Source organism: Homo sapiens, chromosome 8 (assembly GCF_000001405.40).
Source record: "Homo sapiens chromosome 8, GRCh38.p14 Primary Assembly".
Classification (NCBI taxonomy): Eukaryota; Metazoa; Chordata; class Mammalia; order Primates; family Hominidae; genus Homo; species Homo sapiens.
The window spans coordinates 76,775,106-76,789,842 of record NC_000008.11 but is presented as its reverse complement, the minus strand read 5'-3'; the positions used below and the strand labels follow the sequence as shown (position 1 = coordinate 76,789,842).

Here is a 14,737-nt window from a genome sequence, read left to right as displayed (position 1 = left end):
ATGCATATGCACATTTATTTACATATTTATATGACAGGCTACAAAGACACTAATGAAACAGCCTATTATTTCTAAAATAATTCAACACTATTTTCAATTCCATTAATAGCGTAGAAATTAAACTTTTAAAACCCTACACAAACAAATCAAGATACTTCAGATCTCAAATCCACAAATTGAAATGGAGATTTGGTAATTATCTGACTAATTTGATTAATGGAGATGAATAAACTAGATAATTCTGACCCACAGATCTGTGTTGATCCTGAAATGCTTACTTTGACTGTATAAATCAATTTAAACTGGTTAAATGCTAAATGTACTGTCTTCACAGCACAAAGTGAAAATGAGATTCTGCAGTCATTTACTTATCTTTATTAATGCAGAAAGCTAAAAACAATTGCCTACCGTGATATGCACATATTTATTTCCTGACAAAATATTGTTTTTGCACAACACAGATATAGTCTAAGGCTCACTCATTATCCTTGGTAATTTTGCTCTATGATTCCCCATTAGAGCACTTCATACAAATGTTTCTTACAAATTGCTCTATTATGCCATAATCAAAAGACAGAATTTAGCCAAAATGTTTGTTTACCATTTTGTAGACAGTCAAAACAGTCTGTTGGTGCACTCTTTGATATTAATTCCTACTCATCCAGGAGTGGATTTTGGCCAAAACGCTTAATTGCTCTTTTGAGGACTTTCACAATCATATGTCAGTTTAGTCTTACATGAGCCAACAGCCATGCAATAATGGAAGTCACTTAATATCAAGCCAGCTGATTTCTTTGTCTACCATATAATGACAAATAAATACTTTAGTTGCAAACTTTCCAGAATACAAAATAACACACTTGTGTGAAATAAATGTTTTCATGAACTATTTTATTAATCTAATTTAATCATCAAGGCAATGTTGACAGTATGCTAAAATAATCTGATCAGTTCCCTTAAAAACATAAGCAGCACAGTAACCATAATCAAGTTAAACAATTTACTTAGTATGGCCCAGACCCCAGACCTGCACTTTAAAATATTTCACTTTTTCCTTTGTATACAAAGAACTAAAAACCTGGCTCTTTATAACAAAATGCAATTATTTGGTTTGATATTGTATAGATCTCATAATGTAAGTGGCTGTGAACAGCATTGATTTGGGAGAAATTCAGTTTTCAACTAGTCAGCTTTCATATGTCTTCAAACACCCCAAAATGGCATTTCAATGTCCAAAGTCTATTTGACCAGAACTAACTCAGAAACGATTCATGTTAATCCACCAGAATCTCTACTGTAAGTTGAACAGCACGGATGATGTTATTAGAAGCAGGAGACATATTTTTAAAAAATTGAAATCTGGACTGAGAGCCAAGAGGCAAAATTAGAACAAATAAATTAATAATCAAGAATAAAATTCAATATGTAACTGAATGCTAAGTTCTACAATACAGTAAGTACTAGAGAAGATCACTGATGAGGGATGTATAGCAGTACAGGCCAAAGTTCTGAGGCTTTCCTCAGAATAAATGCTAGCCTATAAAAGATAACTGAGGATTGTTAAGCAAAGAAGCAATGGTGCTTCTGGAAATACGGATAACACATAAAGAATGTGAGAAGACTATGAGCATGTGGTTCCTGTTGGGCAGGAAGTAAGGAAGAAGTAAGGTTTCCTAACTGGAGACAACTATGTTACTATCCAACCTGATATCTTCCCTTCATAAGATTCCAAACTCCTCAGGCCTTCCTGACCTCTGCCAGTTACTACTTGTGTAAATCATTTAGCCTAAAAGCATTCTCAATTTTCTTATTTATAAAATAAGGAACATGTTGGTACCACTTGTTTACCATTACTCTGAGGAATAATTGGGCTTGGATGTGTAAAGTACTTAAATAGTAGTGGGCATACAGAGATTGGTCAGTAAAGGTCGGCTATCATCAACATCATCATCATCATCATTATTAATCATTAACTATCTTTTCCTAAGCCTGGCTCATGCTTTCAGTCATATTTTCTTTTTTCTTTTTTTGAGGCAGAGTCTTGCTCAGTTGCCCAGGCTGGAGTGCAGTGGCATGATCTCGGCTCACCGCAACCTCTGCCTCCCGGGTTCACGCCATTCTCCTGCCTCAGCCTCCAGATTAGCTGGGACTACATGCTCCCGCCACCATGCCCGGCTAATTTTTTTTTTTTTTTTTTTTTTTTTAGTGGAGATGGGGTTTCACCGTGTTAGCCAGGATGGTCTCAATCTCCTGACCTCGTGATCCGCCCACCTCGGCCTTCCAAAGGGCTGGGATTACAGGCATGAGCCACCGCACCTGGCCACTTTCAGTAATATTTTCTAATCTTGTTTTCTAACAAGTACCATGCATCTCAGCCAAACTGTGCTACTGACCTCCAACACACCCTGTGGTTTTGAAACTCAGAGCCTTTGCTTCCCAGGTTTTACTTCATCTGGAGTATCACTACCTAATCACTTCCCTCTCCCCTTGTTGAAAACCTGCCCGTATTTCAAGACTCTCTTTTTCTATAGTCATGCATTTTGTTTCAGATTTATGTATTAGCTACCTTATCTGGGTTCTCATGACCTGTTCTTACCTGTCTTACAACACTTGATCACATACATTCTATTTTCCCCTTAAACTATAAACTGAAATGCAAAGACATGTTTTTGTTGGGGACTCATGTGACAGTATGCCAATAAGATTTGAAACAATATAAAATTGTTTGTTGTTTTGTTGATTTGAAAACAATATAAAATAGTTAAAATGTGGGATGTAAAATATGCATTTATACACAGTGATTATGCTATTTACAGGAAAAGAGATTGTGTAACCCTGAGTTAACAAATTTGACTACCCCCCTATGGCAAAATAAATATGTTGGTCATTTGATCTTCCTAGAAAATGACAGCAATCATGCTATGGATGGTTTCTGCCAATAAATCTCATGCTTTGAGCTTTTCTTCGTTATGGTGAACAAATAGCCCTGAACCTCCGAACCTCAAAAGTGCTGTGAACAGTGGCACACTCTTGCCAAGGGGCTTCTGGTTTTCAAACTGCAATCAGTGATCCCTGCCCGAAGTTCTACTTATGGGAACACAATTATTCAGGGCTTTTTTCTTGTTTGCTTTTGTAACAAAGGTATAATTATTACATGTTACATAAAAACTTAGCTAGGGAGTACAGAATATTATTTTATACATTTCTTATTTTTTGGGTTGGTTATCAGGAGATATTAAACCAAAACTTGGTACACACTATAGATACTAAAAGATATAACTATTAAAATATCAACACTTCTGAAATTTGACACATTTGATGTGTCTACTGTTTACTATATCGCATTGACTTGTGTCTTATCAAACCTAATTTCCATTGAACTATGTGTTATAAACTCAGATAATCTCCTTATCTAAAATGCCCAAAAAAGTGAAATTTATGATCATCGATGTCTAACTTCATACTAGATACTTTACATGAAACTATTCCATACGTTGTTAGTAGTTTTCCCAGATGAGAACTGATAGCTAGTGAAGGAAAAGAAAGAACAAAATGACGAGCAATTTTTGTCATTGATTTTGAATAGCAGGGGATTATCATGGAAATGCTTTTTTTTAAAAGTTCTGTCTCAAAACGTCTGCTCATTCTCTATAGCGTGTTAATTTCTAGAATAGTTAAAACAATAGATTCTGAAGTTAGACTGCTTTTCAAATGTCAGTTCTGTTACTGAAATAATGGAGCTGTGTAAATTTAAAAATAGACTTGACCTCTCTAAAGCTCAGTTTCCTCACCTGTAAAATAGGAATAAAATAATATCCACGTTACGGGTTTGTTTCAAGAATTACGTGAGTTGAGGAAATCAAGGGGAAACAAATATTTCCTTTTGTTATTATATTTAGTGAACCCGTTCAGATTCAGAGTCAAAATCTGGACTGTTTTACTGGTAACAGATAACCAGTTTATTGGCAAAAGATCCATACAAAGAAAGTAGAGAACATTCAAGCCAAATGACCATTTGCATCCGAACTATCTACGTAATTGAGAAAAATGTGCCACCTTAATCTAAATTCTTTGAAAAATTGCCTCAATTCTCCACCTCACTTGGCATCTATAGACAAGGTTTTAATGTCCACTACCCACTGAAGGTCTTTGTATTTCAAATAAAAATAATAGCTGCCGTCAAGTATGTTAATGTCTATAATCATTGTAATTTTTGTAAATTATAACTGTCAGTGGTCACAAACCTACCCAATGAAAACATAAGGTAACAATTTAGCCTTTGTATTACGCTTCTCAGAAAAGAAGAGCCACTTGTAGGAAACTTAAGTAGAAAGGCAAATTTATAACATTTATTCTAAAAATAGGTTTTTTTTCCCTCCTCTCCCAATGGGATTATTTCTGAGGGAATATTTGCCTGCAAAAATCTGCAGCTAAAATTTTACCACTGTTTTCACCGATTTCCATTATAGGGTGAAGATCCACAATGCTACTTTAGCTTCTGTAGACAACATTTAAAGAATAAATATCTTTCAAAATATGTTCAAAATATCTAGAATACCATGAAACCATTTTAACTAATATACAGATTTCAACTATGTTGCTGCCACATATGAATAAAACTCATTTGACTCAGTATGGTACAGTCTATAAACATTACAATTTTCTTCATTATAGAAAATGATTCTAGGGGGATACAGCTTTACATTATAAATTTATGTAAATTTAATTATATTTTTGCCCTGATGATTAAAAACTCTTTTAGTCTAGACTAACATAGCATATTAAAATTTCATCAGATATTTCCTCAATTAAAAGGTAGTACCAAATTTAAATATTTGCAACTATTAGAAATGAAGAGATCTAATTAATATTAGCTGTGGATTGTGTATTTCATATTTTTATTTTGTAGAACTTTGTCATTTTAATGACACCAACTGATCAAGTAATGCATAGCCTAATTAGAATATATATTGGCACATTCTGTTAAGATGCCAATAGTCTGGGGAAAAAAGTAGCAGCTAAAGCTGATTCAGTATTTTATTATATTTAAACATAATAAAAATTCACTTGAGTTTTAAAAAAATTTTGGAAGAATAATAATTCTCAGTATGCCTGCGAATGGACCTTTGAAGGATGGTTGTTTTTGGTAATTACAGGCTGCTTGGATGTTTAAATATGTCATAGACTTTAAGTCTAAAGGTAACCCTGCAGTGTTCCTGCTATATATTCTGGCTGTCCTCAAAATAATTACAGAGTGGAGCTTGACTGTCATTCATGGGTATCTATTCCATTGTGTGAGGAGAAAAAGAAAATGGCGGCCCACACATTAGCACATCACCCATGGCTAGAGCAATGACAAGACAGATTAGGATGTATATTAAATCTCACACATGACTGCCTTTCTGTATCAAGGTAAAAAAATACTTGCTCTTACATACATTAGGGACCAGTGTTGGTCTGACATCTACATTAATATTGACAGCATATCAACTTTTTTTTTACATTTACTGAGTCAATAACTAGTCTAAACCTGGTAAAACTTAGATAAGAAATGAAAAATATATTTAGCAGGCAGCCTTATTTTCTCACATCTAAAAACATAAAATAAAATAAAATAAAATAAAATAAAACTTTAACCCCCAAATAGCACTGAGCTTTTATGAATTATCAATTCTACAATTATATATCAACTGGCATACACAGCTGTGACTTGGCAATCTAATCTTATTTGTCCAACAAGAAATTTGGTAAAGAACGGTTCTAGAAAAAGATACTCCTGCACAGACAATAACATAAATATTATATGCATAAAAGACTAATTATTTTAAAAAGCTGGATTACCATCATTGTATTATTTCATCTTCTGTATATTATTTTCACAGACAAGAAGAAATTGCTAGGTAGTAATTCGGCTTCAAAATAACCACAGATGAGAAACATACATAAAGCTTACAAAATGGGAAATACTCAATTTTTAATTTGTTTGCGATTCTTAATATATTTATTGATATTTACAATGTTGACAACTGGAAGCCCCATTTGAACCGGGTTAGAGAAGAAAAGTCATTATTTACTTTGTTTTAAAATATCACAAAGCTAAATAAAAACCCATCTTTATTTCAAGGTAATACCTGGGTTTCATTAACAATTAAATGTTGCTTTCCAATGATGGCTATCTTACATTTTGAAATATGTCAGTTTTACCATTATTCTCAAAGACACCATAATGCTCTTGAGGTGCACACATATTTTATATACATTATGCAAGAATGCTGCAAAATGAAACATTCATTTTTCCTAGCTTCACAGTATCACCAAATAGGGAGAGATATAAACAAATCAATATGTACTTTTTTAAAAAAAGAAAACAACACTGGAGTTTGTTATTCTTCAAAAGTGTATGTTCAAATGGTTAGCATTTCAGTTTTAATAATTAAAATATGGTTGGAAGCATCATGAAGGACCAATATTCAGGAGAAACAAAATCAGAAAGCAACCGAGCAAAATTATTTTTATTTTAAACGCATCATGCAACAACACGTCAAGTGCTGTTCATCTCCAAAGTCAGACGAGCTTTCATTAAAACATGCCTTTGATAAAAGACTGCCTTTCTCCCTTTTCCAGCACTCTGTGGAAGATGATCCAGGTTAAAGTGATGTTCTTAGTAATAATTATCTTTATAAGATTCACACTATCATTTATGTACATCCTTGAAAATGATGCCATTTCGTGAGGCCATGACAAAATTGCAACCATGATTATAAGCCCTTCCATCAGGCAACCCTACTGGTAAACAATGGTAGGAATAAGAGACCTTTCTATGCTCTTCTGCTAATGCTGTGCTAGCCTCTTCTAGCAAGATATATGTAAAAGAAAAGATGTAGAGAAATGCCTGGCAGAGAAGAATAACTTGCACTTTAGTGCTTGAAATGTTTATAGCACGAGAGCTGATTAATTAATATCAATAGAGTCCCTTAAAAAGTTAAAGAATCGTTTTAACAAGCAATGAAAAACGATTATGATTATGAGAGAGGCATATTCTGTCCTTCGCCGGGGGTTGTTTTTACGCTCAAGAAAGTGATGTGAAATTAACTATTTTCATAAACAGATGGTCTTTCGGATAATGGCTTGTACTTTTTAATTTCCTTTTTGGCAGGACATCATGCCAAATGTCAGGAATGTCGATAGTCTTCATTAGAAGTTGTCTGATATTATTGGGATATTTTGTACAGATATCCAGTTGTTTCCCAATATTATAAATGGAAGGCAGAAAGGTTTAAGAAGGTACAGAAAGATAAAAATGTAATATACTGAATTAAGAAAAAATGAATCCATATTAAATTCCAAGATTAAAAATTTAAGGCTCAAAGTATTCACTATTTCTTTCCATCTCTACTGCATTGCTATCTTTAAATAGCAATGTAATCTTTAAATACGCTCACAGAAAACAACTTTTGTTCTTAAACTTTATTCTTAACAAGGGGTAAGTGATGCCCCATTTATAACATTTTCAATTTGTAGAGTCCACATGTGGCTGTGTACTAGCATAGCCAGACAGAGTGTACATTTCAAGAAAACTAAACCTCATAAATCTCCAGAAATTCCTCACATCTATTATGTTTACCTTCTGCTGCTGATGAGCCTGTTGGGCTCTGTACAGAGGAAATTACAAGCGCTCCAGAAGATTTGGCAAGAAGATGCTAGAAGAAACAATAGGCAAAAAAAAAAAAAAAAAAAAAAAATTCTTAACTGAAGCATCATATCCAGCTTTGGCTACCATTTACATATTTGAGATTATAGCTAGTAAAATGGAAATTCCATGGAAATGGAATAAAATGTTTTCTGAAATCCCTATCTGATTACTGCTGGTGATGTCTGAAATTAAACATGTTAAGCTACACTCAATATACTTTATGGAATTCAATTGAAGGCTAACATTCTTATTGAAAATCTGTGTTTATACAATTTTCCAGCTAGGAACCAAGGTGCTTGTATCCACCTGAAACTTTCGCTCCCAGCCTTGTGATTGCTTTCCTAATAATGTATATTACCAAACAAATCTCTCTTTACTTAACAGATGTTTGGAGACAGTTGTAACAGCTGCTAAGTAGTAAGGAAATGCCAGTAGAAATATTTTATAGTCCTACATTTAAATATCACTAGAAATTTGCTTACACTTGATGCCAAGGGAAATGCTTATGTTTAAGATATATTCTGCATCGTGATAAAAAGTTAATAGGTCAAAAAATCTTCCACCCAAATTATGCATCCACAATGCCAACAAAATCAAATGAAAAGTTAAGAAACCCAGTTTAAGAACCAGGCTTGTATTGTTTTTCTTGACTCATTCTAAATATCAATTTTTTCACCAAGTTGATGATTGGTTGTTTTGTCGTTTTGAAGACCCAGTCCTATAGTACATATTTTAAAAACTGTCTTTAAAAAAACTTAATTACTCATGTATTGGAAGGGAACTTTCTATTCTTAAAGCTTGTTAAGTAGACAATAGTTATTTGCTATTACAATGTACTCATTACAAAGATAAAAATGAATAATTAATAATGTGCAAATTCATTATCAGGAATCACTTTTAAAATAAAGTTGGAGGTAAAAGCTACTAGTAAGGAACAAACAGAAGAAAATAAAACAACAAAAACCACTGGATGAATATCAGTAGTTTACAACTCTCCTTAAAAAGCAAAAATCACAATTCAATATCTTAGCAACAACAGATGTCATGAAGTAATCAGATAAACTCAACCACACAACTTACAAATTAGCAAATACTCACATTATTGATAAATTATTGGCCCATGCACGTATCTGATGTGCTAACCATTTATCTTCTCCCGAACAATTTCCTAGCTGTTAAAATCATCCAGAAATAGGTAAACCCAGGTCCTATACAAAGTCAATCCAACTAAAGAAATATATTTTATTATTGTAAAACAAAATCTGGTACTTAAGAAAGTTAATATGAATGTGTCTCACTTCAAATTGGAAAGAAAGACAACAGGATTGATCCAATGCTTCCCTCAGAATGCCACAGCTGATTTTTGCCAGTAAATTACTTCTTGGGTTTTTCTATTTGGTCCAAAATACTGTCTACCTTTAAGTATAACTACAAAAATGTATTTGTTAAACTCATAATATCTATCCTTATCTCTGAAAATCATTACAGTGCCTTTACAATGTTTAGTTCTACATGTCTTTAGAATTGTTTGGCATTTAGCCAAAAGAGAGCTTGAGAAGGCTAGATAAGAGCCAACTGCTAAAAAGAAATTAGAATAAAAATTTCCATTCTAATGAATAAAAACTGCTAAACCAAAAAGCATTAGCAAGGGACTTATAAAAGATATGGCATAGGTTATTAAAACATCATCCTTATTACAAGAATTTTTCCCTACTGATATCATTTGGTTTATCAAATGAGTTCACATCTTTCTTACATTCCTTCCTTAGTTTTCTACAACCACTGGGTAGTAACCAGAAGCTGACTCCTGACTTGAGTATAAGCTTACAGAGAAAATTAATTTGACAGGTTATACAGATGCTTTGTACTTTGATAGACAGCTTCATTTAAAAGCAACTCATTTAAAACACATTGTAAGACATAGAAAACAAAAAATAGAAGATTTGACATTCAGCATGGACACGTTAAAGAGGTGCTATAAGTAAAGGTTGGCTGGTAAGATTTTCTGGAGTTCACACTCCAATTTTATAGTCACTGGTAAAACCTACCAAAGACTGATGATGGGTTACCATGCTTTTGTGTTTTTTTTTTTAATTTTACTTTTTATCCTTGGTGGATAATCATTTGAACATATCTTTTTGCTTATGGTTCTAACTCTTATTTAAATTATGTTCACATCATATGCCTTAGCAAAAATATTCTTATCCAAGCACAGTTGGAGGCTACTTAAGACCAAGGTTTTTATGCTAACACCCTTAGACTATTGGTGATTAATTAACATCAAGGAACTGCTAAACTGCAGTAAAATAAAAACTAAAACGCACATATGAAATATCTTTATAGGTTCGTGATTGCTGGTCTCTGCAGAGAAAAATCGTGGCACGCAGCCCAGTCATGCCAGACCCCCTTACGCCACTACATAAAATTTGAAATAATAAGAGGGGGAAAAAAAGAAATGTCTCAATAAAAATTATAGTTTCAAGTGAAGAACACAATGATTAGTTCAGTATTAGCAGCTAATTAGAGTGCCATTTTCATTTTTATGGATGACTTTTCGCTGCTGCAGTGCCCTCATTGGTCCGGGTTTGCCATGGGATTCAATAGAGTTGCTATGTAATGGAGTACGCTCTCAAGCTCTGTGCTCTATTCTGATTCACTGATGCTGATTTGATTTTCCAACTGGCCTACAGTAGATAAGAATGCTCAGTTGAGAAAGGCGACCTTGACGCTTCTCACCTGACCTGTCTAAACTTTACTTTGAAGTTCACAACCACTAATTCAAGTATATTTTTAACACTGGTATATTTATAAAGGTGTACTGAGTAAATATGTCTCCTGACAGATTTAAAACACCACCTAGGTTTGCCAAAAGGAAGAAAAAAAAGGGAAAACGGACTTTTTAAATACATAATAATGATTTATCTAAATAGGCTTTTTTATGCACCCAAACCCTGAACCACCTTTGATCCATTTATAATTAAAGCCAAAAGTACAGCCGTCTCATTTAATTCCAATATGGGTAGTTTTAATGCATAAAGTTTCGCATGTGGTTTTTAGCTCACGACCATCTGTTTCTGGATTTCATATATAAACAGGACACTTTAGGGAACAGAGATTAATTCAGTTTTGGAATGCCATTCAAAACGTGTTAGCTGTTTCCCTGCACCAGGTCAACCAAAGCAAAAACAAGTTAAGCGCTCATTTTGCAAAGTAGCATTAACATTGGAATTATTGTATAATGGACCCTGACTAGGTCTTATGTTTTAAATTACTGGTCTCTCTCAAATAAAACTATTAATCTTTTTTTGTCTCAGAATGTTTTACAGTCCTGTTACACTTATTAGCTGCTGGCAGCAAAGAAACTTTTAAATGAAAGCCAAATTGCTTTGGTCATGAGAAAGGAAATTAAAGCTCACTCTGGGGGGAAAAATTTCACTGTGAGATCCTCCCAAGGTAGAGTTTCATAACCTCCTGCATGCCTGCTAAAGATGTCACCGCATGCAGGACCGCGTATGGTACTGATATAAAAAGAAAGCTTTAATGGGAACAACATGTTCATTTCTGAGAGATTAAGAGCTGCCGTGTTTTACACTGGGGGACAGGCTCGAGTTGGAGAGTTTGAGGCGTGTGTGTGTGTGTTTGTGTGTGTGTGTGTGTGATGAAGTGGTGTGGAGGGAGGCTCAGAGACAGCCCTCTTCAGGGTTACTCACCAAGCTCATTTGGTGGGCAATCTTTAACAAAAAAGATCTCACTGAGGTTGTCCTCCTCTGGTGCCAGGCCTTGCTGGTGGAGCTGGAGCTTCCGTAGGCCCTCAGTCTGCTGATGCTTCACCGAACGGACATGTTGTACCAGATTCAACTTGACCTTGGTGGTGTAATCACACACGGCACAGTAGTAATAGCAGGATTCGGGATTCACTGCACCCTCTTGCTTCTGCAAGTGCTGAAAGGAAGGGAAGGCTCATTAGAACAATGGTCTAGCTCCATGGTGGATAACAAAACAGGTGACACCCACCCATGGCATGATAAACATTGGTTACACAGATGCTCAAATGCATTTTTCTTATAAGACGCAGCCCAGCCTACCACCTGAAAAGTGAATTAATTCCGTGCAGATACATTTAAAATAATGTGTAAATCTAGATGGAAAGCAGCACGCCAGCTTTATAAGCCCACTCCTAAGAGGAACTGTTTTCCAACAGATATATGCAAAGAAAATTGAGTCTTCTTATACAGTTAACTAGTTATCTCAGAAAAAAAAAAAACAAAAAACAAAAACAAACAAAAAAAAAAACAAGTTCATCAAGGTATGAGAATACCTGGGTAATTAGGTTGACATGAATGAGGTACTTCTTGATGTTTAAATGCTAAACATAGTTAAGATGAAAACTTTAACCATAAGCTGAAATCCACAAATTGCATGGCATTTGGTATTTTCTAGATGAGAATGGTCTCAGGTTTAATTAATATTTTAGTGTAGCACAAACTCAAAGCAAAAACAATCTGGGACTATTTCAGCTGAGCCCTCCGTGATAGAGGTTACTTTGTTACAAATACTGACTCAAACATAAATGTTTATTTAAATTTTCCATAAATCTGCATGCATGGAATAAACTTACATTTTCTATAAACAAAAATGTTTCTCTTAATTATATGTTAGATACACTAAAAAGTTAAGTAACTTAATTTGAAGTTTAATCTAATTCAAAACAGACACTATGATGTGAAGCTTTTTCTTTTTTACCATTCACAGTGACCCACAACAAATTTTTGCTAAAAAAAAATCTGTTTCGCAAGCTCTGCTGACTCTGATTTCTGCCCACAGCATGTAACAGGATCCTCTTAAATTCTGATTTTTTCAATGGAAAAACTTTTACAACTCCCAAACATATTCTGTTACAGTAGTTTATTTTTAAAAAAACTTTTCCCCCATTTTAATTGGGGTAGTTCAATTCCATACAAACAAGAAAATTCCCAAAATAAGAATAGCAACAAAGAGGAAGAATATTAATAACTGTGATTCAATATAAACTATGTGAGTTTTAGTAATTCATTAAAATATTTTTATGTGCTTCTTTTAAAAAATACACAAATGGGCACAGGTGGTATTTATTTGTTCTTAGATTAGTTGAATAAGGGTTAGCATTCTGAAATTCAAACAAACAAAAAGAAAACCTTTATATACAGGATCAAACATGTTGATTTCTACCTTCCCTCCCCCACCTCCCTGGCTTTTAGCATCTGAAAATGGTTAGTAAGAAAAGAATAACTAGCTGGTGAGCCTTTCCAAACACCAAAAGACAGGACCCATATATTATATTTGGTTAACGCTCATGGACACTTTTAGTATTTTTTAAAAAATCAAATGAAGTGATGTTTTGTTCTAAAGCGTCATTCTCAAAATTTTTGTAAAAGGTTACGTTTCTGATCATTCCCATTCCCAGAAATAGAAGTGCAGCGTAGCTCATGTAAGTTATGGCTCTTCACCTGCAAAAACAAATTCTGAATAAATTCTGCATACTTAACCTCAGCAAACAAAGACCTGAAAGATTCAAAAGATGAGAATCTTGAGTACCTGAAGGTAAGCTTTTCTTTCCTTAGTATGGACACTTAAAAAGATACCCAAGCCTGGATCTAAACAGGAACATTTCTGTGCCTTTCAAACACACCAGTCTCAAGTCGGGTCCAAAAGGGAAGAGACAAGCCAGGAATTGACCTTCTCTAGTCCCAGCGACCAGATTTGCCTGAGGCCACAGGACGCCTGAGTGTGTGTGAGAGAGAGTGCCTTGTGGGATGGTGGGGGTGGTATTTGCTATTATAACACACCAAAACACTTTCCAGAGGGGAGGGAGGAGAAATTAAACTCCCTTTTTTTTTCTCATGTAAATCGTGTAACCATTCACCCCAATTGGTATTCAACCAATGTCATTTCTAAGATTTCAGTCTTCGATATATTTATTAATAAATAGATCACCACCCGATTTTCTTTATAGCACGCACAGTATGCCTCCTTTCCACACCTACTGGGAATCCTTATGCTTGTTGATTCAAGTGAATTAAAAATGGTACCAATAAAAGGAGCAAGGGCTATTTAACAACACATTTCCTTCTGTCTCAAATCTGCACTGTCTAGAACAGAACCTCGTTTCTTGTCACTCCGCTGTGTTAAGAACAGCAGGCCACAGCCATTCAGACTGCCCCATCAACTGTGAGTTTTAATTTGAGCCACTTTCACATTAAAAAAAAAAAAAAAAAGAAAACTTACTTTTTCCACCAACCCATCTTCACCCTGTGTTGCACCACCTAAAGCTTTCAGGCCATGCTCTACTCTGGAGCAAGCCAAGCATATCAAGTGTGCCTGCAACACTCACAGGCTAATGAACAATGCACAAAAACAAAAGGAACAGCAAGGCTCCTATTATCTGATCTTCCGTAAAACACAAAAACTGCCTTCTCTGGTGCAGAGGAAGTGCCAGGAAGCCTGCAGGTGTGAGCCGGTTAAAAGAAAAGGCTTGGGCTAAATAGATTCTTTGACTGTCAGGGATTAGAGCCATGGCACTAGTGGTAACACACATCTTTTCCTTTAATTTACAAAATTTTCTCACGAGTCTGCAAGAGTTCACCCCATCAGGGGCTTTCGGAGGCCATTGAAATGTCTTAAGTTTTAATTAAGTTGGAGTTGTCAGAAGAAAGCTTTTTTGGCACAGAGTCAGGGTCATTAATTACTGCTATCTTTGTTTCTTTCTGTAAAGAGAACTCCACTGACTTGTTGGGTTTCTTACCCAGCGTACATTTTCTATCCTCTCATTCCCTTTCACTTCCAAGTGGGACTTGATTAAGTAGTTTACCAATTACTTCCATCAGTTCTAGGTACAAAGCATTTATACAATCTTAAATCTTAAAAAACATTTCTCATTAGTGGTTTGGAGTACAGTGGCAATAATACATTCTTCTAGTAAGTTATCAAGCAGCTGATTTCTTCCATGGATCTTTGCATTTAAATATAACTGTCTTCACATTTTTCTCATCATTATCTATTCAACAT

At 34.6% G+C, this 14,737-nt stretch overlaps 1 protein-coding gene across 2 annotated transcripts in view, besides 1 other annotated feature; it reads right to left on the bottom strand.

Annotated features, from left to right (window-relative positions):
- The window catches only part of ZFHX4 (zinc finger homeobox 4), a 186,035-nt gene that overhangs the window by 77,439 nt on the left and 93,859 nt on the right, over positions 1 to 14,737 (bottom strand). For both annotated transcript variants that reach the window (NM_024721.5, NM_001410934.1), the window contains exon 4: positions 11,404 to 11,635. In NM_024721.5, the coding sequence (NP_078997.4) occupies positions 11,404 to 11,635 (232 nt within the window). The remainder of the gene's footprint in view (positions 1 to 11,403; positions 11,636 to 14,737) is intronic.
- Positions 10,300 to 11,396: an enhancer, noted in NCBI's record as "VISTA enhancer hs774". NCBI's record gives its function as "enhancer in: limb[5/5]" and the evidence as "EXISTENCE:transgenic organism evidence [ECO:0001131][PMID:17130149]".